Consider the following 24378-nt stretch of genomic DNA (forward strand, 5'->3'; position numbering starts at 1 on the left):
TGTGTGTGTTTGTGTTTGTGTGTGTGTTTGTAGATTAAAAATATATACCTAAAAATTCACCTAAACCTTTATCTTAAAATGTATATTCTAAAAATCTTTCTTACTTGGTACATAGTATGCTTCTTCTTTTTTCTTTTTTTCTTTTTAATTTTTATAATAGAGATGGAGGGGGGTGTCTCACTCTGTTGCCCAGCTGGTCTCGAACTCCTGGCTTCAAGCAATCCACCTGCCTCATCTTCCCAAAGTGCTGGGATTATAGGCATTAGCCACCATGCCTGGACCATAGTATGCTTCTTTAATCTAAGGATTTATGTCAGTTCTAGAAAATGTTCAACCAGTATCTCATGCAACATTGGCTCTCATTTCTCCTTGTAGAACTCTCATTAGAAGTATGTGGAAGTATCCACATCTCTCAACCTCTATTTTACACTTACTATTTCCCTGTGCTAAACCTTAGGTTTCTACAACACTCTCCACCAACTTACTAATTTTCTTTTCAACTATGTCTCGTTTACCATTTAAAGCATCCATTAGTATTTTATTTCAGTAACCATAATCCTATTTTTAAAGACACGGGGTGTTGCTCTGTTGTCCAGCTTGGAGTGCAGTGTTGTGATCAATCATAGCTCACTACATAGTGAGAACACATCTCTACAGAAATAAAAATAGAAAATTGGCCAGGCGCGTTGGCTCATGCCTGTAATCCCAGCACTTTGGGAGGCCAAGGCAGGTGGATCACAAGGTCAGGAGTTCGAGACCAGCCTGACTAACATGGTGAAATCCCGTCTGTACTAAAAATACAAAAATTAGCTGGGCATGGTGGTGCACGCCTGTAATCCCAGCTACTCAGGAGGCTGAGGCAGGAGAATCACTTGAACCCGGGAGGTGGAGTTTGCAGTGAGCCGAGATTGCACCACTGCACTTTAGCCTGGGCGACAGAGTGAGACTCCATCTCAAAAATAAAATAAAATGAAATATTAGCCAGGCATGGTGGTATGCACCTAGCTACTCAAAAAGCTGAGGTATGAAAATCACTTGAGCCCAGGAGTTCAAGGTTACATTGAGCTATGATTGCACCACTATACTCTAACTTGGGCAACAGAGCAAGACTCTGTCTCCAAAATTTAAAAAAAAATAAATAAAAATAAAATGACAGGAAGAGACTGTGTTTGAAAGCTCTGAAGGGCTTGCAGTCCTTGGATACTTGCCCCAAAAATAAACATGATGTGCTTGCTTTATTATTGTGATAGAAAAAAACAAACTTCACACTCAAGTCTTCACTATTACAAGGATGTACTCCTGAAGCTCAGCCAGTCCACGGTTGTGGACTCTAAAATAGTGATCTCCCATTATCCCTCAGATCTACTTAATAATGCTCAATATATTTTTGTATTCAGTCAACAAAGATTTATCAAATATCTGCTAGGCACTGTTCTAGGCCCTTGAGATATAGCAATAATAACAGACAAACTCCCTGACCTCATGGAGCATCCATTCCATGGAGGGTAAGGTGAACAATAAACATACAAAATAAGAGCAGATATCAGTAAGTATTATTAAGGAAGAAAACAGCAACATGGTTAGAGACTGACTGGGTGGAGACCATTTAGGTGTGTGAAGTTCTCTGGGTGGCCATAACATTTGAGATGAGACCTAAAAAATGAATGAAAATGAACCAAACATGCAAAGAGCTTGGGAAAGAACATTCCAGACAAAAAGAATAAATAGCAAGAGCAAAGGGTTTAAGGTGGTCACAGACTTCACATATCTGAAGAATGAAAACGAAGAAGCCAGCATGAATTAGTAGGAAGAATGGTAGAAGATGACATTGGAGAGGTGAACCAGGGGCCAAACCGTGAAAGGCCTTGTAAGCTACAGTCAGCATTGGAATGTTATTCTGAGTGTGATTGGAAGCCACCGGAGTGATTTCAAGCAGGAGAATGATATGATCCCATTTGAAAGGGAACATTGTGGGTTCTAGGTGAGAATGGATTGGGGAGAGCAAGAGTGGAAGGAGGAGGACCAGTTAGGAGACTACTGCAGTAGTCCAAGAGAGAGACAGTGGTAGTCTGGATGAGGATGATAGCAGTGGAGACAGGGAGAAGTAGATGGATTCAGGTCAAGATTACTGAACTTGATGAAGGGATGGGTATGTGTTGAGAGGAGCAATGAAAGAAAGAAAGGCATCAAAGATGACTTCCAATTTCCAAAAAAGTATGCCGAGCAAAATAGACCAGACAAAATAGAGTAACATACTATAGTAACATACTACAGGTTATAGGAAATGCAAACAAATCCAAACAGATAAAAAATCAGTGGAAATACAAAAATTAGCCAAGTGTAATGGTGCATAACTGTGGGGCAAGCTACTTCAGAGGCCAAGGCAGCAGGATCACCTGAGCCTAAGAGGTTGAGGCTGCCATGAGCCGTGATCATGCCACTGCACTCCAGCCTGAGTGACAGAGCAAGACCCTGTCTCAAAAGAAAAGAAAAGAAAAGAAAAGAAAAGATTAGTGGTTGCCTGATAGGAGCAAGCAATGGGATCAGGGACTGGGAAGCAGAAAGAAGGAAGCAATTACAAAAGAGAATGAGGTAACTTTTATGGTGACGAATGCATTTATTATCTTGATGGCAGAGATGGTTTCCTGGGTGGGACATTATTAAATTGTACACTTTAATATATTCAGTTTACTGTATGTCAGGTATGCCTCAATAAAACTGTTTTTTCAAAAAGACTCCCAGCTTTTTGACCTGAACAAACTAGTTGAATGTTAATGTCTTTTACTGAGACAGGAAAGTTAATTTTTGTAATATAGTCTGTAAGCAGTCTCAAGGCTGCTCCACAGGAATAATAAGAATAATCCTTCCACTTGTGAATAGACTGTATAAGTGAGAATGTAGGTTCAGCTGCTATAGCAGAGATCCAAAATAGCAGTGGCTAAAATAAGATAGAAGCTTGTTTCTCTCTACTATACTCAACTAGGCATAAGCAGTCTAGGGCAAGTATGTGAGTCCCACAGTGCCAAAGTTCCCAGGCTCCTTCTATCTTATCCGTAAGATCCAAGATGACTCATCACTACCATGTTCATAGTCTAGCTGAAAAGACAGAAAAAAAGGGGGAGGCTCACACTTTCCCTTTAAAGGCATATCCCAGAAGTTGTGAGCATGGTTCTATTCACACCCCATTGACCCAAACAGAATTGTGGCCACTCCTGATTGCGAGAGATACCAGGACATTTATTATTACAGGCAACTGTGCGCCCATTTAAATATCAACAAATATCACGAAAGGGGAGTAGAGGACAGATATTCAAGGGAAATTAGCAGTTTTTGACATAAGTTTTCAGCTGACGAAGCTATTTCTCATTCATCATATCATTTCATCTTCACAACTTTGTGACATGGATAGACCCTAAGAGTTCATTCAGTTTGAGGGGAAGTTTAGAAGGGTGGTTAAGAGTATGCGCTTTAGAGTTTCAAATCCCATCTCCACCATTTACTAGCTGTGACATCCAAGGAAAACTGCTTAACTTCTCAGAGCTTCAGTCTCTTCAGTTGTAAAATGGAGGTAATAACAGTACCCGTTTCATAGGTTTTTATGAGGAATAAATGTGATAATGAATGCACAGTTCCAGGCATACAGTTGCACCTATGCTTACATTGTCTGTTATTACGTATCAAGTATTTGGGACCTACAGATAAATAAAAGAGCAATTCACAGTATAGTGGCAGGGGTGGGGGGTCACAGATAAATGAACAGAAAGTGACAAAATAATATGACAATTCTGCCACAAGGAAGACAATACCAGGAGCCAGACGAGCACAGGGGAGGGGCCTCTAACCCAGAAATCTTACAAGAAAAATAGGCGTATATGGCAAAGAAGGGAGAAAGGATATTCCTAGAAGAAGCCAAGACACCACAGCAAGTGAAAGCCTGGTGCCTTCAGCGAAACGCAAGTTGTCTGGCATTGCTGGAGCAGGGGAGCATGTTAACTAAGAGGAGAGGCAGAGTGGCAGATTAGGGTCAGTGGCAGAGGAACCTTTGCAGGTGACACACTTGCCAAGAAACTCTCAGCTACTCCTTCCTGCTGACCAAGTAAGTTCAGGGCTGGGACCTTACTAGGGAGAAAAGGAGCTTCCACCGTGCCTACCAAATGAAGCAGTCATAGGAAACACTGCAGGGAGAGGAAGTGAGTCGTTAGCAGGAACTGATGGTGGCTTTTCCCAGGCACCTTGCCACGTCTGATTCAATCTGTTTATGCAAAGTCCAAAGAAAGTGAATAGTTTTGATCAATCCTGATGATTTAAACCTGCGTAAGAGATGAAGCTGGGTAACAGAGCATAACAAAGACTGGATTATTTATCTTGTTGCTCATCAGAGAAAGTGGGGCCTGCCAGAGGTGAGAGCCAAAAGCAGAGACTCTCCCAAAAATAGGAAAAGAATAAAATTAGGAAACCAAAAGCCTAGGGGAGAATCCATGCCTCTGTCACTCCAGCTCACTAAGCTGAAAAAGTTCATGGTCCTTTAGAACAGGAAGAAGAATACAATGGGGTTGGGTTGAAATCTGGACAAACTCCACATACATTTATAAATAGGCACCAAAAAACACTGGTGCAGAGGAATGTTTTTCCATCTTTAGAGCCATACCTAGGACAAGGTGATTAAGGCTTTTCCCCAGGGCACCTACCTTAGCAGCCCCAGATGTTTTTAAATAAAGGTTTTCAAAATTGTGAGAAACTAAAAAAGTTAATATTGTTCTTTTTATAAATTAGAAGAATATGAGTAAAAGTAGCACCCAGTAAGCAAAAAAGTTACTTAAAATAGACAGCCCCAGATCACCACCTTATTGCTAAATCTCGCATGTAGCCACGGGCAACTCCAGGCCTACAGTTGACCAGTTCAACCTCCACAGTGGAAAGAGACAATGTCTTTCTCCTTTAGGGTTTCAGGAAGAGTTCCAGGATTGGATTTCCCTGGCATAGCTTGCGTCACATGCCCGTCTCCGAAATAATCACAAGGCCCAGAGGCCTGGACTGCTCTGATTCGGCAGGTGCAGGTCATATGGCCATTCCAGGAAGGTTAGGGGGTATCATCCTTATCCAAAAAGGACATAGACTGAGGGTAAGCGAAAGGTATCCTCTTGCCAAAAGAGAACAGTATAACTATCAAAGGAAGAGGTACTAGATGTCACAAAGAGAAAAAAAAAATAGATGTTCATTTTATACATTAGCTGCCAAAATTTCAACTTTTTTGAATTTGTCTTCTAATGAATAGGTCAATTCCATTTCATTGAGTACATGAACTTCATGATGGTGACCCCCTAGTCTTCCCCATATAGCAGTGGTCAGGGACCTCAAGAAGGCAACCTTGCTTTGCAATGAAATTCTTGGATCACTGGATGTGGAGTGTCCCATCAAAAAGGGCTGAACCCCAGACTTAATGTTTTTGCCTTTTCTAGATGAGAAACACTAAGGATTTTCTCTGTTTCATTCAAGACAAATTGTAGCAGTCACTGTTGAGAAGAGGTTGAAGTTATCTTTTTTTTTTTTTTGGAGACAGTGTCTCACTTTGTCATCCAGGCTGGAGTGCAGTGGTGTGAACACAGCTCACTGAAGCCTTGACCTCCTCGGCCCCAAGTAATCCTCCCCTCTCAGTCCCCCAAAAGTTGCTGGGGCTATAGGCATGCACCACTGCACCCGGCTAATTTTTGTATTTTTTTATAGAGATAGGGTTGTACCATGTTGCCAAGGCTGGAAAGTTGCCACTTCTTTTTGTCCCCTTAGCTAAGGTCAAATGCCTCTGCATGGGTTTGAGAAGATGGCGAAGCTTGGCTGACTGTGGGTAAGTAGTCTCCATGATCTCATAAGTCTTTGTGGGGTTTTTTGTTTGTTTGTTTTGAGACAGAGTCTCACTCTGTCATCCAGGCTGGAGTGCAGTGGCGTGATCTTGGCTCACTGCAACCTCTGCCTGCTGGGCTCAAACAATTCTCCTGCCTCAGCCTCCTGAGTAGCTAGTACTACAGGCACTCAGGTTTTGCCATGTTGGCCAGGCTGGTCTCGAACTCCTGACCTCAAGTGCTCCGCCCGCCTCAGCCTCCCAAAGTGCTGGGATTACAGGCATGAGCCACTGAGCCCGGCCAAGTCTTTGTGTTTCTAACCACAGTGATTAGTAGAAAATATAAGAGGTCACTAGCAGGAATACTTATTCTGGAACATCAGAATCTTAGGGCAGAAGGCCATGAAGAATCAGGGAACAAATTCTTCAAGGAACTCCATTAGTCCATATATTTGCCACACATCTCCACTGTGTTCTGCCATCTGAAGTATGGGGTCCTGTATAAAAATTCCACAAAATGGCCGGGTACAGTGGCTCACGGAGGCTGAAGCAGGAGAATGGCTTGAACCCGGGAGGCGGAGCTTGCAGTGAGCCGAGATGGCGCCACTGCACTCCAGCCTGGGCGACAGAGTGAGACTCCGTCTCAAAAAAAAAAAAAAAAAAAAATCCAGAAAATAGGCCGGGTGCGGTGGCTCACGCCTGTAATCCCATTACTTTGGGAGGCCGAGGCAGGTGGATCACGAGTTCAGGAGATCGAGACCATCCTGGCCAACATGGTGAAACCCCGTTTCTACTAAAAATACAAAAAAATTAGCCAGGTGTGGTGGGCGCGCCTGTCATCCCAGCTACTCAGGAGGCTGAGGCAGGAGAATCGCTTGAACCAGGGAGTCAGGGGTTGCAGTGAGCCAAGATGACGCCACTGCACTCCAGCCTCGGCGACAGAGCGAGACTCTGTCTCAAAAAAAAAAAAAAAAAAAAAAAAATTCTAGAAAATAATTCTAGACTCAGAGAGCTGGAATGGGTTGTTGGGTTCTTCCAGGCTATCCTCACTTTACAGAGAAAAATGAAGCTTATAAAGGAAGAAGGGCTTTGCCACGGTCACAGCAAATTGGTGTTAAGGCTAAGACTAGAACACAGGAGTCACAGATTCTCTTCCAGAGTTCCTTCCATTCTACCCTGTGGCCTCTCTTGGGTGGATTCAGCAAGACTACTGGGTCCCAAAACAGGAGACAAATTTGGAGTCAGGAGGCTCCATTTTTCTTGGGAATATGAGATTCCATTTTGTAGCCACTTATCGTTGGTTGCACTCAAATGTGTGGATCTTGAAAAGGGCTATGGGCCGGGCGCAGTGGTTCACGCCTGTAATCCCAGCACTTTGGGAGGCGGAGACGGGCAGATCACCTAAGGTCAGGAGTTTGAGACCAGCTTGACCAACATGGAGAAACCCTGTCTCCACTAAAAATACAAAATGAGCCAGACATGGTGGCGCGTGCCTGTAATCCCAGCTACTTGGGAGGCTGAGGCAGGAGAATCGCTTAAACTCAGAAGGTGGAAGTTGCAGTGAGCCGAGATCACGCCATTACACTCCAGCCTGGGTAACAAGAGCAAAACTCCGTCTCAAAAAAAAAAAAAAGAAAGAAAAGGGCCTCAACCCCTGAGCACAAAGAGAAGATGAGGTAGAAAAAGCCCCAGGACTCTGCTTCCCAGGGGCAAGACAAACTTGGTGTTCCTTCTGACTTGGCCTATCCATTGGGAATTCTAGGTACTTCGTAGATACCATAGGATGTCTATGATGTCCTTGGCAGTGTATGCTAAATGTTGTGTCTGCCAGGTATTTTTCTGGATCAGGATGAACATAATCTCCTCAGCATCTCAAAGGGGCCCCAAACTCTCAATAGGTTAAGAACCACTACTCTAGGCTGGGCACAGAGGCTGAGGTGGGAGGATCACTTGAGTCCAGGAGTTCAAGACCAGCCTGGGCAACATGGCAAAACCCTGCCTCTAAAAAATTTTTAAATTAGCCAGGCATAGTGGTGCGGGGCCTGTAGTCCCAGCTATTCAGAAGGCTGAGGTGGGAGAATCACCTGAGCCCAGGAGGTTGAGGCCGCAGTGAGCCATGATTATGCCACTGCATTCCAGCCTGGGCGACAGAGTAAGACCCTGTCCTCACCCCCCACCAAAAACAAAAACTAAACCAAAAAACCCCCAAGAAACACTAATCTAAAGTGACACTTCCAAACTTGGCTTATTATTAAAATTACCAGAAGAGATTTAAAAGCACTGATACCTGGGCCCTTCCTACTGGAGAGGTGGATTCAGTGGATATGTGTTGGGGCCCAGAGAATCTGCACTTTTTAGAAGCTCGCCAAGCTTAGAAACTGCAGCTCTAGAAGAAAATATTAATGAAATTAATTAATGAAAATATTAATGAAGTTAATATTAATTAATTTTCTTTATTATTTTCCCTAGAAGGGAGAAGAAAAAATTACCTCAGCACTTGGCACTTTAAAGCCATTCTGATGTAAACACTTCAGGTGTTTATGGTAAAGATAAAATTAGAATTCCTGGTAAAGAGAGGGCGCTGAAACCCAACAAGCCATAAATAAAACAATAGAATTCAGAAGGCCATGGTTCTGTTATACTGTATTGTGACCACAGCTTATACCCAGACATATCAGCTCTTTCAGTGACTTGTTTAGCCTATACTTGGTTTCCCTGACTCTACCCTCCAGTGGTTCTCGGATTCGATAAATCCCCAACTCTTAGGCAGTAGAGCATTAATGCAAATCCACCACTTGACATTTTTATAGTTTGAATTTCTTCATTTATGCATGCAACAAGAACTTAATTACCTACAGGATGCTACGTACTGCTCTAGCAGTGAACAAAATAGATACTCTCCCTGTCTTCATCACCCTTCCAGCCTAACATAGGTGCTGGATTCATTCATAGAATGAATTGGGGTTATAAAAAGATATTTTCCTTCATCTGAGTGGTTCCATCACACTGGTTTCCTCAGATTCCTGGAACACACCAAGCATCGCCTCGCCTCCAGGATTTATATACACTGGGTCCTCCTCTAGAATGCTTCCCTGCACTCTGCCTGGTCACCTACAACTTAAACCTGTGGGTCTTCACTTCAGTGACCTTTTCATGAAAATGCCTTTAACTGACTCCTCAACTTAAAGCAATTCCTGGCCAGATGCAGTGGCCCACGCCTGTAATTCCAGCACTTTGGGAGCTTAAGGTGGGCAGATTGCTTGAGCCCAGGAGTTCAAGACCAGGTTGGGCAACAAGGCAAAACCCTGTCTTTACAAGAAATACAAAAATTACCTGGGCATGGTGGCACTTGTCTGTAGTCCCAGCTACTCAGAGGCTGAGGTGGGAGGATCACCTGAGCCCCAGGAGGTCAAGGCTGCAGTGAGCCATGATCAAGCCAGTGCACTACAGCTTGGGCAACAGAGGGAAACCATATCTCAAAAAATGAATGATAATAAAATAAAGTAGTTCCTCCTGTTACCCTCTCAGATACCTTAAACTTTTCCATCATGGCATTTATCACAGTTTTTAATGGCATATTTATTTGTGTGATGATTATTAAATTTCACTTAAAAAAAGGTAATTCATAAAATACCCGCATATAAAATACAGACAGTAATAATAGCATACTAGGAAAAGAAAATTAGCTTCTGCTCCTGGCCCTCTGATTCTCAGTTCTCCTTCCCAGAGGCAAATACTCTTATCACTCTTGCATCCCTGCAAAGATCTTCTAGGTATTGTTGAGGGTCTGCATGATTATTTATTAAGTAGCTGTCTCCTCTATTAGACTGAGGGTGGATACTGTATCTACTCATTTATTGCTTTATCCCTAATACTTGGCACACAATCAGCCATTTATAGGTGTTGGTGGAATAAAGGAAAGGGCGTCAAAAGAAGAGAGATTGGGTTAATATCTAAACTGCTAGCTCTTGTACATCTCCCATGCTCCCACTCAGCACTGAGCACATAGTAAACTTTATAGATGTCCCTGGACTCCCCTAGCATTGGTTCATGAATTGTTCTCTTCGGTGAGAACTTCTTACAGCGTATTGAAACTACCATGTCTTGTCTGTGTGTCTCCCCCGTGGACTGTTAGCTCCTTGAGAATGGAGACAGGGCTTTGCTCTTCTGGAATGCTGGGCTGGGCATCCGGGAAGTCCTTGATGAGCACTTTCTGATGCTCGACTAACCTGACTCATCTGACTGTTGGCTCCCTTGCAATTCCATTCTCAAACTCTACCAGTCTGAAGCCTGCCAGTGCCATTTCAAGTTGTTACTCTTCCAATAAAGACTAGCATTTTATTCAAAACCTCTAGTCTGGAGAGATGCACTTCACTTGAGCCTTATTGCAGATTCTCATTTCTTTTAGCACTTATCTAAAAAACGGGGATAATAATGCCAAGCTTCCAGGGCTGTTGTGATAATTAAATGAGATCTTCCATAAATGGAGACAGTTGTTCGTTTCCCCACCCCCTTCAGCAAAGAGAGTATCAGTGTCTGTTTTGCTAAAAAAGAAAAGAGGTCTCTGCATGGGGTGCAGGGTCAGAAAGATACTGGGATTTTTTTTTTTTATTTTTATTTATTTATTTATTTATTTATTTTTGAGGTGGAGTCTGGCCCTGTCGCCTGGGCTGGAGTGCAGCGGCGCAATCTCAGCTCACTGCAACCTCTGCCTCCCAGGTTCAGGCTGTTATTGTGCCTCAGCTTCCCGAGTAGCTGGGATTACAGGCATGTGGCACCATGCCTGGCTAATTTTTGTATTTTTAGTAGAGACAGGGTTTCACCATGTTGGCCAGGATGGTCTCAAATTCCTGACCTCAGGTGATCTGCCCACCTTGGCCTCCTAAGGTGCTGGGATTATAGGCGTGAGCCACCACACCCGGCCAGGCAGATAACTTTCAATTGTGACCCCAGTTCAAACATTATTGAGACAGTGAGGTGAGAATCAATAATAAAGTCAAAAATTGCCCTCTTTGAACAATGACCTGAAATACAATGGCTGCATATCAAAGAAGCTGCTGAGTGACACACCCTCAGGACAAATAGAGGCTTCCGCACAGGCCATATGTATCTGTCCCTGCCTGCCCATCTGTTTCATCTTGCAGTGCTCCCTCCACTCCCTCTAGGCCCCAGCCACGCTGAACTTTATTACTCCACGCACTTTTTTGATGCCAGGCCTTTGCATATGCTCTTCCATCTGCCTGTCACCTACTCATCCATAACTCTAGGCTTAAATATCTCTTCCCAGGATGAGTGCAGTGGCTCATGCCTGTAATTCTGGTGCTTTGGGAGGCCCAGGCGGGAAGACTGCTTGAGGCCAACAGTTCAAGACCAGCCTGAACCACACAGCAAGACTCCGTCTCTACAAACAAATAAACACATAAAAATTTAAAAATCTCTTCCCCAGGAACACCCACCCCCCTTGACTTCCTGAGCCAGATTAGGTCACTATGCCACAGGTGAACCTAGGTCACCTATGTTCTTCCCTTTTCACTCATTACAGATGTAGACTCCCAAAGGGCCTTCATTCAACCATTCATTTATCTGACAATTCTTTCCAGAGTTCCTACTATGTGCTAGGCATTATTCTGGGTGCTAGGGATACAGTGGTAGACAAGATAAGACACAGATTCTACCTATGAAACTTACATTCTAGTAGGAAAAGCAGACAATACACAAATAAACTAATACAGGAACCGCAGGTTCATTCACTGCTGCATTTCCAGAATGGGCCCCAACACATAGCAGATACTCAACAAGTGCTTATTGAGGAGAAGGAAAGGAAAGTGAGGGTGAATGGCAGCCAATCTGAAGGAAGAGACAGGAGTGGCCAGTGTCAGAGCCAACAAACTAACTACCGTGGAATCATTTCACCCTAGAGGTTTGCTCAACTTGCAGGAGGGACTAAAATGGGTTGAGGCCTATCCTGTCCTGTTGGTCTCCAATAAGGAAGGGGAGGAAGTGGCTTACCTTCACTTCTGTCTGTCCTGTATCTGTGTAAACACCTACAAATAGGGACAAATGAATGAGTGCAAGCCCTGGACTCATCAAGTGATCTTATCCACTCCTGTGCCTTCCAGTGTTAGAGACTGGATAGTTGGTTGCAAAACACATTTCCTCTTTCTCATGGGTGCCCAGCTAGGCTACACTTCCCTACTTCTCTTATAGTTAGATGTGACCACATGATGAGATTTTATTGGTGGAATATGGATGGAAGTGATAGACTCTCCCATGTGTGGTCCTCCATGCCCTTATGCCCTTTCCCCATCACAGTGACCCTGGAAGCTGTGTAATATAAATGGCAGATGTCGGGTGCAGTGGCTCATGCCTGTAATCCCAGCATATTGGGAGGCCGAGGTGGGCAGATCACTGGAGGCCAGAAGTTCGAGAGCAGCCTGGCCAACACGGCGAAACCCCGTCTCTACTAAAAATATAAAAATTAGCCAAGTATGGTGGCACACACCTGTGATCCCAGCTACTCAGGAGGCTGAGGCACGAGAATCACTTGAACCCAGGAGGCAGAGGTTGCAGTGAGCTATGATCATACCACTGCACTCCAGTTTGGGCAATAGAGCTAGACCCTGTCTCAAAAAAAAAAAAAAAAAAAGATGGCAGACACAAAAGCTGGAAGGACCTGGTTCCTGAACCCCACTTGGAGAAGAGTTGCTCACTTATTAGGAACACCAGTTTGGGATTTTACCTGAGTGAGAAATAACCTACTGTGCTAGGCCATCGAGGCTGGGGAATTTTCTGTTAGAGCAGCTAGCATCATTCTTTTTTTTTTTTTTTTTTTTTTTTTTTTAAGACAGGGTCTCTTGGCTGGGGGCAGTGGCTCACGCCTGTAATCCTAACACTTTAGGAAGTCGAGGTGCACAGATCACCTGAGGTCAGGAGTTTGAGACCAGCCTGATCAACATGACAAAACCCCGTCTCTACTAAAAAATACAAAAATTAGCCAGGCATGGTGGCGTGCACCTGTAATACCAGCTACTTGGGAGGCTGAGGCAGGAGAATCTCTGGAACCCAGGATGCAGAGGTCACAGTGAGCTGAGATCATGTCACTGCACTCCAGCCTGGGTGACAGAGCGAGACTCTGTCTCAAATAAATTAATTAATTAATTAATTAATTCAGGGACTCACTCTGTTGCCCAGGATGGAGTGCAGTGGTGTGATCACGGCTCGCGGCAGGCTTGACCTCCTGCGGCTCAAGCGGTCCTCTCACCTCAGCCAGGACACCACAGGCACATGCCATCATACTCAGCTAATTTTTGTACTTTTTGTAGATACAAGGTTTCATTATGTTGCCCAGACTGCTCTCAAACTCCTGGTTTCCACCTGCCTCGGCCTCCCAAAGCGTTGGGATTACAGGAGTGAGTAACCATGCCTGGCCACCTTGATGATACACTTGCTTATTCTCTCCAGGCCAATGACCTCACTCAAGCCTGAGCCTTCCCCTGGGGTCCAGACTCAGCTCCACACCCATGCACTGGATATCCCTACTGACATGGTGGTCATGCCTTCAGACTTAGAGTGGCCAAAACTGGACTTGCTACTTTCACCCGCACCAGCTTCTCCTTCTCCAGTGTGGCCCATCTCAGTAAGATGGCACCACTTTCCACCCAGGCGTGCAAGCCTAAAACTCAGAGCCACCTTGGGCCCTTTTCCCTTTCTCTCATCCTCCACATATCTCCTCCATAGATCTTGAATTCATATCTTCTCTTCTTCTCCACTGCTGCTACCATCAGTGCCTAAATACCACCACAGTCTCCAGCTAACCCATCTCCCTGCTTGATTATAGCTACCCTTCAAGCCCATTCTCCAGCTGGAGTCATCCACCCCAAAACAGATCCAAGCATGCCACCCCTACCCACACTCACTTTAACACTCAGGGCTGGCTCCCTACCGCCCTGAGGATTCAGTTCAAGCTCCTTGGCACAGTCTCAAAGGCCTTGCATGATCTGGCCTGGCCTGTCTCTGCAGCCTCTTCCGCTGACCCCAAGCCAGCTGTGTACACTCTTGTCACACCAGTTAGGTTCCTCATTCACATCATCCTCCCTCTGCACTCTGGCTGTTCCCCTGGCCTAGAATACTTCAACCCCCATTCTTTACTTGCATCACAACTGCTCATCCTTCAGGCCTCAGCTTGATTTTCACTTCCTCCAAGAAGTGACCTCCCTGACCCTTGGACCAGGTCAGCCAACTTGGCACCTCCTATTGCCCAACACAACTCTCTTGACATTTGATTCTTGTGACTTAATTGTCTATTTTTCCTATTCAAGTGCAAGTTCCCGGAGGGCAGGGCCTCGGTCCTGTTCACCCTTGTGTTCTTAGCCTCCAGAAAAAAGGAGGAATCCCCGTATGTCTGTTAAATGAGTATGCGTGAGCAGTACACTCACTCAATAATTACCAACTTAGTGATATCCGTGCTATTCAATGACAGCAAACAGGTAATTCTGAGTTTGTCTGCCATCTGAGTCAAAGCAATTTGCCCCCATTTTTTTTTTTTTTTTGAGATGGAGTCTCTCCCTGTCGTCCTGGCTGGAGTGCAATGGTGGGATATCAGCTCACTGCAACCTCCGCCCCTCGAGTTCAAGCGATTCTCCTGCCTCAGCCTCCTGAGTAGCTGGAGTTACAGGTGCGCGCCACCACGCCCAGGTTAATTTTTTTTGTGTCTTTAGTAGAGACGGGGTTTCAACATGTTGCCCAGGCTGGTCTTGAACTCCTGACCTCATGATCCCCCCACCTCGGCCTCCCAAAGTGCTGGGATTACAGGTGTGAGCCACCAGGCCCGATCTGCCCCCATTTATTAATGAGGAGACAGATCCCCAAGGGAGCAAGTGATCTGCCCCAGGGAGGCAGGAGGTGAAGCAGTCACAGGGCTCTGGCAATGACCACACCACCCCTCTTCTCCCTCTGCTTCTAACTTTTCTTGTTTCTGAGGTCCAGGCGGAAATGTAATGTCATGACACATTGGGGGATTTCTTTCCTCCCCTACATTTTTCTGATGTGACTCCAGCTTGGGGGGTTGGGGGAACACAAGCCCCAGGAGGAGGGAGGCGGGTGGTGGGGAGGTTAGCAGTCACATTCCTCAGCAGCCTCTGTTTTCATAGCTCAGAGAAAGAAGAAAGAAGTTAGCAAGCTCTGGCAGACACACTGGGCATTCAGCTCCTGTTCTGGCAGCTGCAGGGGCTGGGCTGAGCACGCGCTCTGCCAAGGCCAGGGCGGCAGACACTCTCTCCAATCTCAGGCTGCCAAGATGAGGTGGAGGGGGTCAGGGCCTCTGTCTAAGATGGGGGTTCACAGAAAGAGACCCCTTCTTTCTGCTCAGGCTGGCAGCCAGTTGGCCATGAGCCATGTGTGGGAGAAGGGGAGCAGAGGGAGGCAGTGTCAGGGCCTCAGTGCAAATCCTTCCAGGTTGGAAGGCTGGTGTGGGCATCAGACAGCCCAGGGGGCTATCTCAGCTCCTCCTCCACCCTGGAGATGTTGGAGGGACAACCTCTAGGCAGATGTCCCCACCCGGCTGCTGGGGCCACTGCTGTCACATTCCAGAGGGGGCTGAGAGCCACAGAGCATGGATTGAGAACGAGCTCACCATGGAAACCAGGCTTCCTAGGAAAAGGTCACATATTTGATGTGGCTGTCATCCAGGCACCTTAAATGCCACACTGTTCCTGTTTTCTTGAGCACGCTGCCAGCAGAGAAGGCCTGAGACAATGGGGTTGGCAGTTGACCTGTTTGCCTGGTTTTAGACAGGCCCCTATCACGGTTTCCCCTTCTCAGCAAAACTCAGTGCTGTTTTTACATTGCCTGACCCCAACGTGTACCCATGTGGGCAGCCCTGCAGGCCAACCCTTGAGTCTGGCAAAGACCCACTGTGCCAAAAATCTAGAAAAGGAGGTGCAAACAAGACCCATGATGGTAAAAACTGGCAAAGCTTGTTAAGAATAGTAAAAGCTTTCGGGTATGAGTACTTACTCCATGCTGCCAGACACTGTGATAAATGCTTTACAGGCACTGTAATCTCCACAAAAAAAACCTTAATAAAAAAATTGAGGCTTTGAGAGGTTAAATAACTTATCTGAGATTATTATATAACCAGAAAATGGCATGACGAGGATTCAAACCCAGGCTTGTCTGATCTAGAGCCTGAAACTTTCACCTCTACTCTATTTCACTCATCCATTTATTCATGCACTCATTCATTTATTCAATTGTCCATCCATCCATGCATGCATCAAACATTTAGGGAAAGCCTCTGGTGTGCTGACACAGTGTGTAAAAGGACACACTCCACAACCTCCAAGAGTTCACAGTGGGAGAAATGGATGAGTAAACAATGACAATATGCGGTGTGATGAAAGCCATGGGAGAGGAGCAGCAAAGCTGCTATGGGAAGAGGACTCCTTTTCCTTGCATTGTCCAAGGCTCAGAGGTGTGAGAGCACAGGGGAGGAGAAACTAACCCAGCTGGGACAGGGGTGGGCAGCAGACTTTCTCCGGAAGGTGTCCAAACACACACCTGTAAAAGGGGTTGAACTTGGGTCACACTTCTCAGGCCTGGAGTTCCAGGGGTTGGATTTACATCCACAGGCAGGAGAGAACACTTACTCTCAAATGGACCCGATCAGGCCCCCCTTACCAAGCACAATGCTTCCCAGGGACGCCCAACTGACCAAGTACCACCGACAAAATAGAAAGAAGTCAGGCTTTCCTAGAGAACCCTGGGTGAGTACATGGTTTACACAGCTGTCCTTAACCCAGACTCTAGTGGCATGAAGAAAGAACAAGCTAGCTTCTTCCTCCTTTCACACTCCCATTGAAGACTGCCCACTGTCAAAAGCTAGAGGACAGTAGAAATAAAATTACTGCCTTAGTATAAGGAAACCAACCCAGTGACTTCTAGGTTGGGCAAGAAAATTAGGGTTGGGGAAAAGGGTGACTTAATTCCTCCCGTCTGTCTGGTTCCTACACCCACATCATATGTCTTTGGGGAAGCCTCCCACACAGGCTGTGATCCACCAACTATAGCACTCCAGCCCTGAAAGGAGCCCTTTTCCTTACATGCCCTGTTGGTTAGTAATAGCCAAGATGCTGGGTGGGAAGAAGGGAGAGAGAGAGGGAGGGAGGAAGGGATATTCTCTGAAGAGCAAGAGGGCAGCTGGCTTCTTTCACAGCTGTGTGGGTGGCAGTGAGCTAAGAGGTCCCTGTTCTCTTCTCCATCAATCAAGGGGGCAATCAAGAAAAAATGTGCAGTTTAAAAAGTTCAAAAAGAAAAATCAAACCACAACAACCTCCAAATTATATTAATTTGGTGATGGCCTGACACTCTGGAAACCAATCATGGGAAGGGGCAACCCTCACTTCCTCCTGCTCTTGGATGACGTTAGCCCTTTTTCTTTTTCTGGGGTTGGTCTCCATGGAGCAACACAGTCTGGCCTGGGTTCCTCACCACAGCAAGGAGGAAAACACAGAACTTTGTTCTCTCCTCTCTGGATAATGGTGGCCAGGATAGAAGTTCATGGGCAATGAGAAGCCTGGGCCCTCCTGCACAAGGTTGGCATCAAGCAAAATTGCATTAGCTAATAAAATAGTATCCTTGTGCAAGTTATTTCACCCCGCTGAGCCTCAGGGCCCTCCTCATTAAACTGGGAAAATAATACTACCTACCCTCCTGATGCCCTTATTTATTCCTGTCTTCAGGTCCTTTTTATTTACCTCTTCTGCCTTTTTTTTTTTTTTTGAAACAGGGTGTCGCTCTGTCACCCAGGCTGGAATGCAATGGCACAATCACAGCTCACTACAGCCTTGAACTCCTGATCTCAAGCAATCTTCCCACCTCAGCCTCCCACATAGCTGGGACCACAGGCATGTGCCACCACACCTGGCTAAGTTTTTTTCTTTTTAAAAATGATTTGTAGAGATGAGGAGATGAGGTCCCCCCTCCTGCCTCGAACTTGCAAAGTGCTGGGATTACAGGCATGGGTCACCATGCTCAGCCTCTTCTACCTCTTTTTTCTCCTCTTTGCATCCCCCTTTCTTGCACTGCCTTCTCGGTAGTCCCCTCCACCCCATATGGACTTAAATAATTCTTGATTTTCATGGCCCCTGTGAACTTGCTTCTTCCCCCATTCCTTCCCATTTTAATAGTGCCATCGTATACCCAGTTTCTCAGACTAGAATCTAAGAAGTCATCCTTGATTACCTTCTTCCCCACAACACATACATTTAATCCATTAGCATGTCTTACAGGTGATTCCTCCAAAACATATCCCGAATCTGACCATTTCCCACCCTCTGCTACCACCCTAATTCTGGCTACCATCGCCACTTGCCTAGATAACTCCAAAGTTCTCCTAACTGGTCTTGTTATTTATTTAGTTTTTAGAGATGGGGTTTTGCTATGTGGCCCAGGCTGGTCTGAAACTCCTGGGCTCAAGCAATCCTCTGGCCTCAGCCTCCCAAATTGCTGAGATTACAGGCATGCCATCTGCCATCATGCCCAGCTCCTTGTCTTGCTTCTTTTACTTTTGCCCCTTAGAACCTGTTCTCTGCATAGAAGAGTCATATTTCTGAAACATATAAATTAAATTATATCACTCTCCTACTCAAAACACTGCATGGGCTTCCAAATTGTTTGTCATGGCCTACAAAGCCCCATATGGTCCTTGCCTTGCATCTTCAACCTCTGATGACTGTGCTGCAGCTGCAGGGGCTCCCTTCTGTCCCTCACACATGCTTTGCTTTTTTTTTTTTTTTTTTCTGAGACGGAGTTTTGCGCTTGTTGCCCAGGCTGGAGTGCAATGGCGCGATCTTGGCTCACCGCAACCTCCACCTCCCAGGTTCAAGCAATTCTCCTGCCTCAGCCTTCCCAAGTAGCTGGGATTATAGGCATGTGCCACCAAGCCCGGCTAATTTTGTGTTTTTAGTAGAGATGGGGTTTCTCCATGTGGGCCAGGCTGGTCTCGAACTCCCGACCTCAGGAGATCCACTCACCTCGGCCTCCCAAAGTGCCGGGCTTACAGGCATGAGCCACTGCGCCTGGCGTTTTGCTTATTTTTGTCTCAGGGCCTTCACCTGCATGATCCCTTCCTGTCTCGGTTCAGATGGTACCTCCTCAGAGAGAGCTTCCTTGAGGCACCTACATAAATGAATTCTGTACCCACCTACTCTTGAGCACACCACTGGTGTGTGTGTATGTGCATGTTACTTATTTCTGAAACTGTCCTGTTTCTTTATCTATGCATGTATTATTGGTCCATGCCGTGTGTTGTCCGTGGTTCTTCTCCAGTGACAAGAATAGTACTTGCGGCCAGGCGCAGTGGCTCATGCCTATAATCCCAGCACTTTGAGAGGCTGAGGAGGGAAGATTGCTTGAGCCCAGGAGTTCAGGACCAGCCTGGGCAACATAGTGAGACCCTGTCTCTACAAAAAAATACAAAAATTAGCCGGGGGTAATGGTGTGTTCCTGCAGTCCCAGCTACTCAGGAGGATTGCTCGAGTCCAGGAGGTCGCAGCTATAATGAGCTGTGATCACACCACTGCACTGCACTGCAGCCAGGGTGACAGAGTGAGACCCTGTCTCAGAAAAACAAAACAAAACAAAACAAAAAAAGAATAGTTCTTGGCACATTATCAGTACCCAGTGAATTTTTTGGGTGAATAAATTAATGTCCTTGCTCCAAAATCACTTCTCTTTCTTTTCTCTGTCAAAATGCCCTCTCCTTCAGAGCATGGATCTCATTCGGAAGGTGATAGGGAGACCTCCACAAACATTTGCTGAATGAATGAAGCTGAAATGAATTACACCATCAAAGAATGCCAGCCTCTTAATGCATAGCTATTCCCAGGAGGATTAGCATTCTCAAACAGGAAGCTTGAATTTCAGGCACTGTTGACAAAGGGAAGAATTTCAGGGCAGCCGAGTTGAAGTGATATTTTTGTACAGAGTTGCTGTTCCATGGCTTCTTAAATCCAGAGATACTTATTAAGACCCTTTAGGGCTCCTTTGAAACTGAAGTTGACATTAAAATATGAAACAGTGATAGAAAAGGATTGTTTGTTTATAAGGAAAGAATTGTAGACTGGGAATCAGAAGCCTGGGTTTTAATCCTAGATGTGAGACTACAGTAAGTAATTAGCTCCTTGGACAGGTCGCTTAAGATAACCAACATTAACTGAGTATCTAGCTCATGCCTGGCCCTGAGCTAGGCACTTTACTCACACATATAATTTTTATTTTTCTGAGACAGGATTTCACTCCCTTGTCCAGGCTGGAGTGCAGTGTTGCAATCACGGTTCACTGCAGCCTCGACCTCCCAGGCTCAAGCCATCCTCCCACCTCAATAACCCAAGTAGCTGGGACTTACAGGTGCTTTCCACCAAGCCTGTCTAGCTTTTGCATTTTTTGTAGAGAGGGGTTTTTCCATGTTGCCCAAGCTGGTCTCAAACTCCTGAGCTCAAGCCATCCGCCTGCCTTGGCCTTCCAAAGTGCTGGGATTACAGGCATGAGCTACTGTGCCCAGGCACACATAAAATTTTTGCAACTCTTTAAGGTAAATATTTTTAGTGTCTCTATTTTATAGACAGGGAGACAGGTTCAGAGAGGTTAGGTGTCACGTGTGAGGGCACTTCCCTGATAACAGTGGGAGCTGGATTCAGCCACACGTTTAGGTCAGTCTGCATTCCTGTTTTCTTCCACTTCCCCCTGACAAGACCTCTTGGGCCACCTTTCAGGAATCTGTTAACTGGGGGCAACAGAAGAAACTCTTTTTTTTTTGAGATGGAGTCTTGCTGTGTCACCCAGACTGGATTACAGTGGTGCGATCTCGGCTCACTGCAATCTCTGCCTCCCGAATTCAAGTGATTCTCCTGCCTCAGCCTCTCAGGTACCTGGGATTACAGGAGTGCAGCACCACACACAGCTAATTTTTGTATTTTTAGTAGAGACAGGGTTTTACCATGTTGGCCAACCTGGTCTCAAACTCCTGACCTCAAATGATCTGCCCACCTCAGCCTCCCAAAGTGCTGGGATTACAGACATGACCCACTGTTCTGGCCCCAGAAACCCTTGAGCTCTAAGGAGTTGCTCTCTAAGATCTTTTTTCTTTTTTTCTTTCTTTTTTTTTTTTAAGAGATAGGGTCTTGCTCTGTTGCCTAGGCTGGAGTGCAGCAGTGTGATTATAGCTCACTGCAACCTCAAACTCCTGGGCTCAAAGGATCCTCCCACCTCAGCCTCCCAAGTAGCTAGAACTGCAGGTACATGCCACCACATCAGGCTAATGTTTACATTTTTTTTTTTCTGGTAGAGATGAGGGTCTCACTATGTTGCCCAGGCTGGCCTCGAACTCCTGGCCTCAAGTGATTATTCTGCCTCAGCCTCCCAAAGTGCTAGGAATCCAGGTGTGAGCGACTGTGTCCAGCCATTAAGTTCCTGTTAGTATTATTTCTCCATCATATTATTTCTGGATATGGGAAAAGAGAAAACAACTGTGGGACAGAGAGCTCATTTAGGAATGTAGCTTAGTGTTTACAGTGAAGGTTTGAAAATTAGGCTCCTTGAGTTTACATTCTGCCTTTACCACTTTCCTTAGGCATACATTTAACATCTCTCAATTGCTTCTCAATTTTCCTCATCTATAACACGGATACAGTAAGTTGTGTTGAGATGTAAATGAGATAGTGCCTGTAAAGTGTGCAGCCCAGTGTGCGATACATACTGAGCATTCCATGAAATGTTAAATGTTTATTAAGCGAATAATGATTATTATGAACACTATAAAAGAAAGTTTCTCAAAGGAGGCTGAAAGGGGAGCCCAGAGAGAAGAGGTAGATGCTTTTTAGTGCTCAGGGAGGGCCAGATTTCTTCTGACAGCCCGTCTTGAGAAATGGCTGCAGGTTCAGAGGCTCCTAGGGCCACTGTATAAACCAAGAAGATGCCCAGAGGAGCTCCAGAGGACCTCTGCTGAAGGGAATTCCCATGAGAAACAGGGGTAGAGGAGCGAGCAGTTGAAAGGCAGGAAGCCCTGAGCCTGCAGGAAACATTAGCTGGAGAAACAAAGTGTGCTTGGAAAAGCCCAGCTCAGGACAAGAGCTTGAGACTGAAAGCTTGGAAGCAGGAAAGGGAGCCCCAGGAGAGTTCAAAGTAACTCACTACTCCAGTTATTTCTGATGTCTTTATTATTCTCTCTGATTACCACAGATAATACATTGGTACTTCATAGAACTTTATGCAATGCAAATAGCAAAGGAGTTCCCTATTCAAGTTTTTAAATTTTTTTTTTTTTTTTTTTTTTAGACAGGGCCTCACTCTGTCACCCAGGCTGGAGTGCAGTGGTACAACACAGCTCACTGCAGCCTCAACGTCCTAGGCTGAAGTGATCCTCCTGCCTCAGCCTCCCAAGTAGCTGGGATTACAAGCACACACCATCATGCCTGGCTAATTTTTTTTTTTTTTTTTTTTTTTTTTTGAGATGGAATCTTACTCTGTTGCCCAGGCTGGAGTGCAATGGTGCGATCTCGGATCACTGCAAACTTCTGTCTCCCAGGTTCAAGAGATTCTCCTGCCTCAGCCTCCCAAGTAGCTGGGATTACAGGCGTCTGTCACCACGCCTGGCTAATTTTTGTATTTTTAGTAGAGACGGGGTTTCACTATGTTGGCCAGGCTGGTCTCAAACTCCTAACCTTAGGTGATCCACCTGCCTCGGCCTCCCAAAGTGCTGGGATTACAGGTGTGGGCCACCGCGCTTGGCCTGGCTAATTTTTTTATTTTTTGTAGAAACAGGGTTTCACCATGTTGCCCAGGCTGGCCTTGAACTCCTGGGCTCAAGTGATCCTCCTGCCTCTGCCTTCCAAAGAGCTGAGATTACAGATGTGACCCACCACAGCTGGCCCTAAAAATTCATATTTGGTGAATTTCTCAAAGTGAATACGCTCGTGTAGCCCGCATCCCAACCATGGCACAACTTATCAGAACACCAGAAGTCCCTCTCTTCCAGTCTTTACTGATCACGATGGGAGTCTTTTTCCTGATTTTTTTTCACCATAGTTTTGCCTGTTTTTAAATTTTAAGTAAATGGAATCACGCAGTATATACTTTTTTGTGAATCTGGCTTCTTTCACTGAGCAATATGTTTTGCAACTCATTCCTATTGCTATTTAGTACTTCACTGTATAGATATATCCCCAATTTATTCATTTTTATCATCAAATACTGATGGGTATTTGGATGGTTTCCAGTTTTTAGTTATTATAAATAATGCTTGGATTAATGTTGTGCATATCTTTTTTTTTTTTTTTTTTTGAGAAGGAGTCTCACTCTGTCGCCCAGGCTGGAGTGCAATGGCGCGATCTCCACTCACTGCAACCTCCACCTGCCAGGTTCAAGCAATTCTCCTGCCTCAGCCTCCAAAGTAGCTGGGACTACAGCCACATATCACCATGACTGGCTAAGTTTTTGTATTTTTAATAGAGACGGGGTCTCACCATGCTGGCCAGGCTGGTCTCGAACTCCTGACCTCATGATCCACCTGTCTCAGCCACCTAAAGTGCTGGGATTACAGGCTTGAGCCAGAGTGCCCAGCCTCTTGTGCATATCTTCTGGTGAACATATGCACTCATTTCTCTTGAATCCCCAGAAGTGGAATTACTCCTGGGGTATGCATATGTTCAGCTTCAATAGTTACTAGTGCCTAAAGTCTTGAAAGGATGTTCCAAGTATATACAAGATCTCCGTGTGGGCTCCTGGAGAAACTTCAGAATATCACAACTCTGCAAGGGAAGAGGATGAGGAAGGGGCAGCCCAGTGGCACTTGTCCAGTGCTACTGCACTGCCCCAGTCCACTTGATGGACTGTCCAATCCACCAGGACACATGACATGCCCCAAATTCCACTTTCATTTTGTCACCACCATCCACATTCCCCAACAGAGACCCCTCTCTAATCCAATCACACTTTCAGGGCAGCATTGGATTGCATGTCTGTCCACTTGCTGGCATTGGACTGAATTGTATTTCCTACATTCATTCATCCAGGTAACAAATATTGAGTGCCTACCACTCAATTGCATTGTCTTAGAATCTAGGAGAGGAGCAATGTACACACCCCTACCCTCATGGAGCTAACATTTTCATAGGAGGAGATGGACTATAAACAAATAGGAATATGTTAGTGGTGATAAAAAGCAATGTAAGAAGAGTAAGAGTAGGATGGGAGAAGGAATGTGCTGTTGTTTAATACGGTGGTCAGGGAAGGCCTGCAGAGCAGACAAGATCTGAAAGACATGATCACTCTGGCTATTACACTGGAAATATGTTATATGGAAGCAAGATGGAACTAGAAAGGCAGAGGCCATCACAAAAGTGCAGGCATGAGATGATGCGAAATTGGACTGGGTGATGGTAGTGGCAGTGATGAGAAGTGGTTGCATACAGCATGTATTCTAAAGGTAGGGCTGACAAGATTTGCTGATGGATTGGCTGTGGAGCAAGATAGGGTAGTCAAAGACA

At 45.5% G+C, this 24378-nt stretch overlaps 3 annotated features.

Annotated features, from left to right (window-relative positions):
- Window positions 13719-13768: an enhancer, noted in NCBI's record as "active region_23266". NCBI's record gives its function as "activates an Ori minimal core promoter by ATAC-STARR-seq in GM12878 lymphoblastoid cells {active_cell/tissue: GM12878}" and the evidence as "EXISTENCE:reporter gene assay evidence [ECO:0000049][PMID:35858748]".
- Window positions 13799-13868: an enhancer, noted in NCBI's record as "active region_23267". NCBI's record gives its function as "activates an Ori minimal core promoter by ATAC-STARR-seq in GM12878 lymphoblastoid cells {active_cell/tissue: GM12878}" and the evidence as "EXISTENCE:reporter gene assay evidence [ECO:0000049][PMID:35858748]".
- Window positions 14682-15881: an enhancer, noted in NCBI's record as "MED14-independent group 3 enhancer chr5:139702306-139703505 (GRCh37/hg19 assembly coordinates)". NCBI's record gives its function as "activates an origin of replication core promoter dependent on BRD2, BRD4, P300/CBP and CDK7 cofactors, and independent of MED14, by STARR-seq in HCT116 cells {active_cell/tissue: HCT116}" and the evidence as "EXISTENCE:reporter gene assay evidence [ECO:0000049][PMID:35650434]".

Source organism: Homo sapiens, chromosome 5 (genome assembly GCF_000001405.40).
Source record: "Homo sapiens chromosome 5, GRCh38.p14 Primary Assembly".
Classification (NCBI taxonomy): domain Eukaryota; kingdom Metazoa; phylum Chordata; class Mammalia; order Primates; family Hominidae; genus Homo; species Homo sapiens.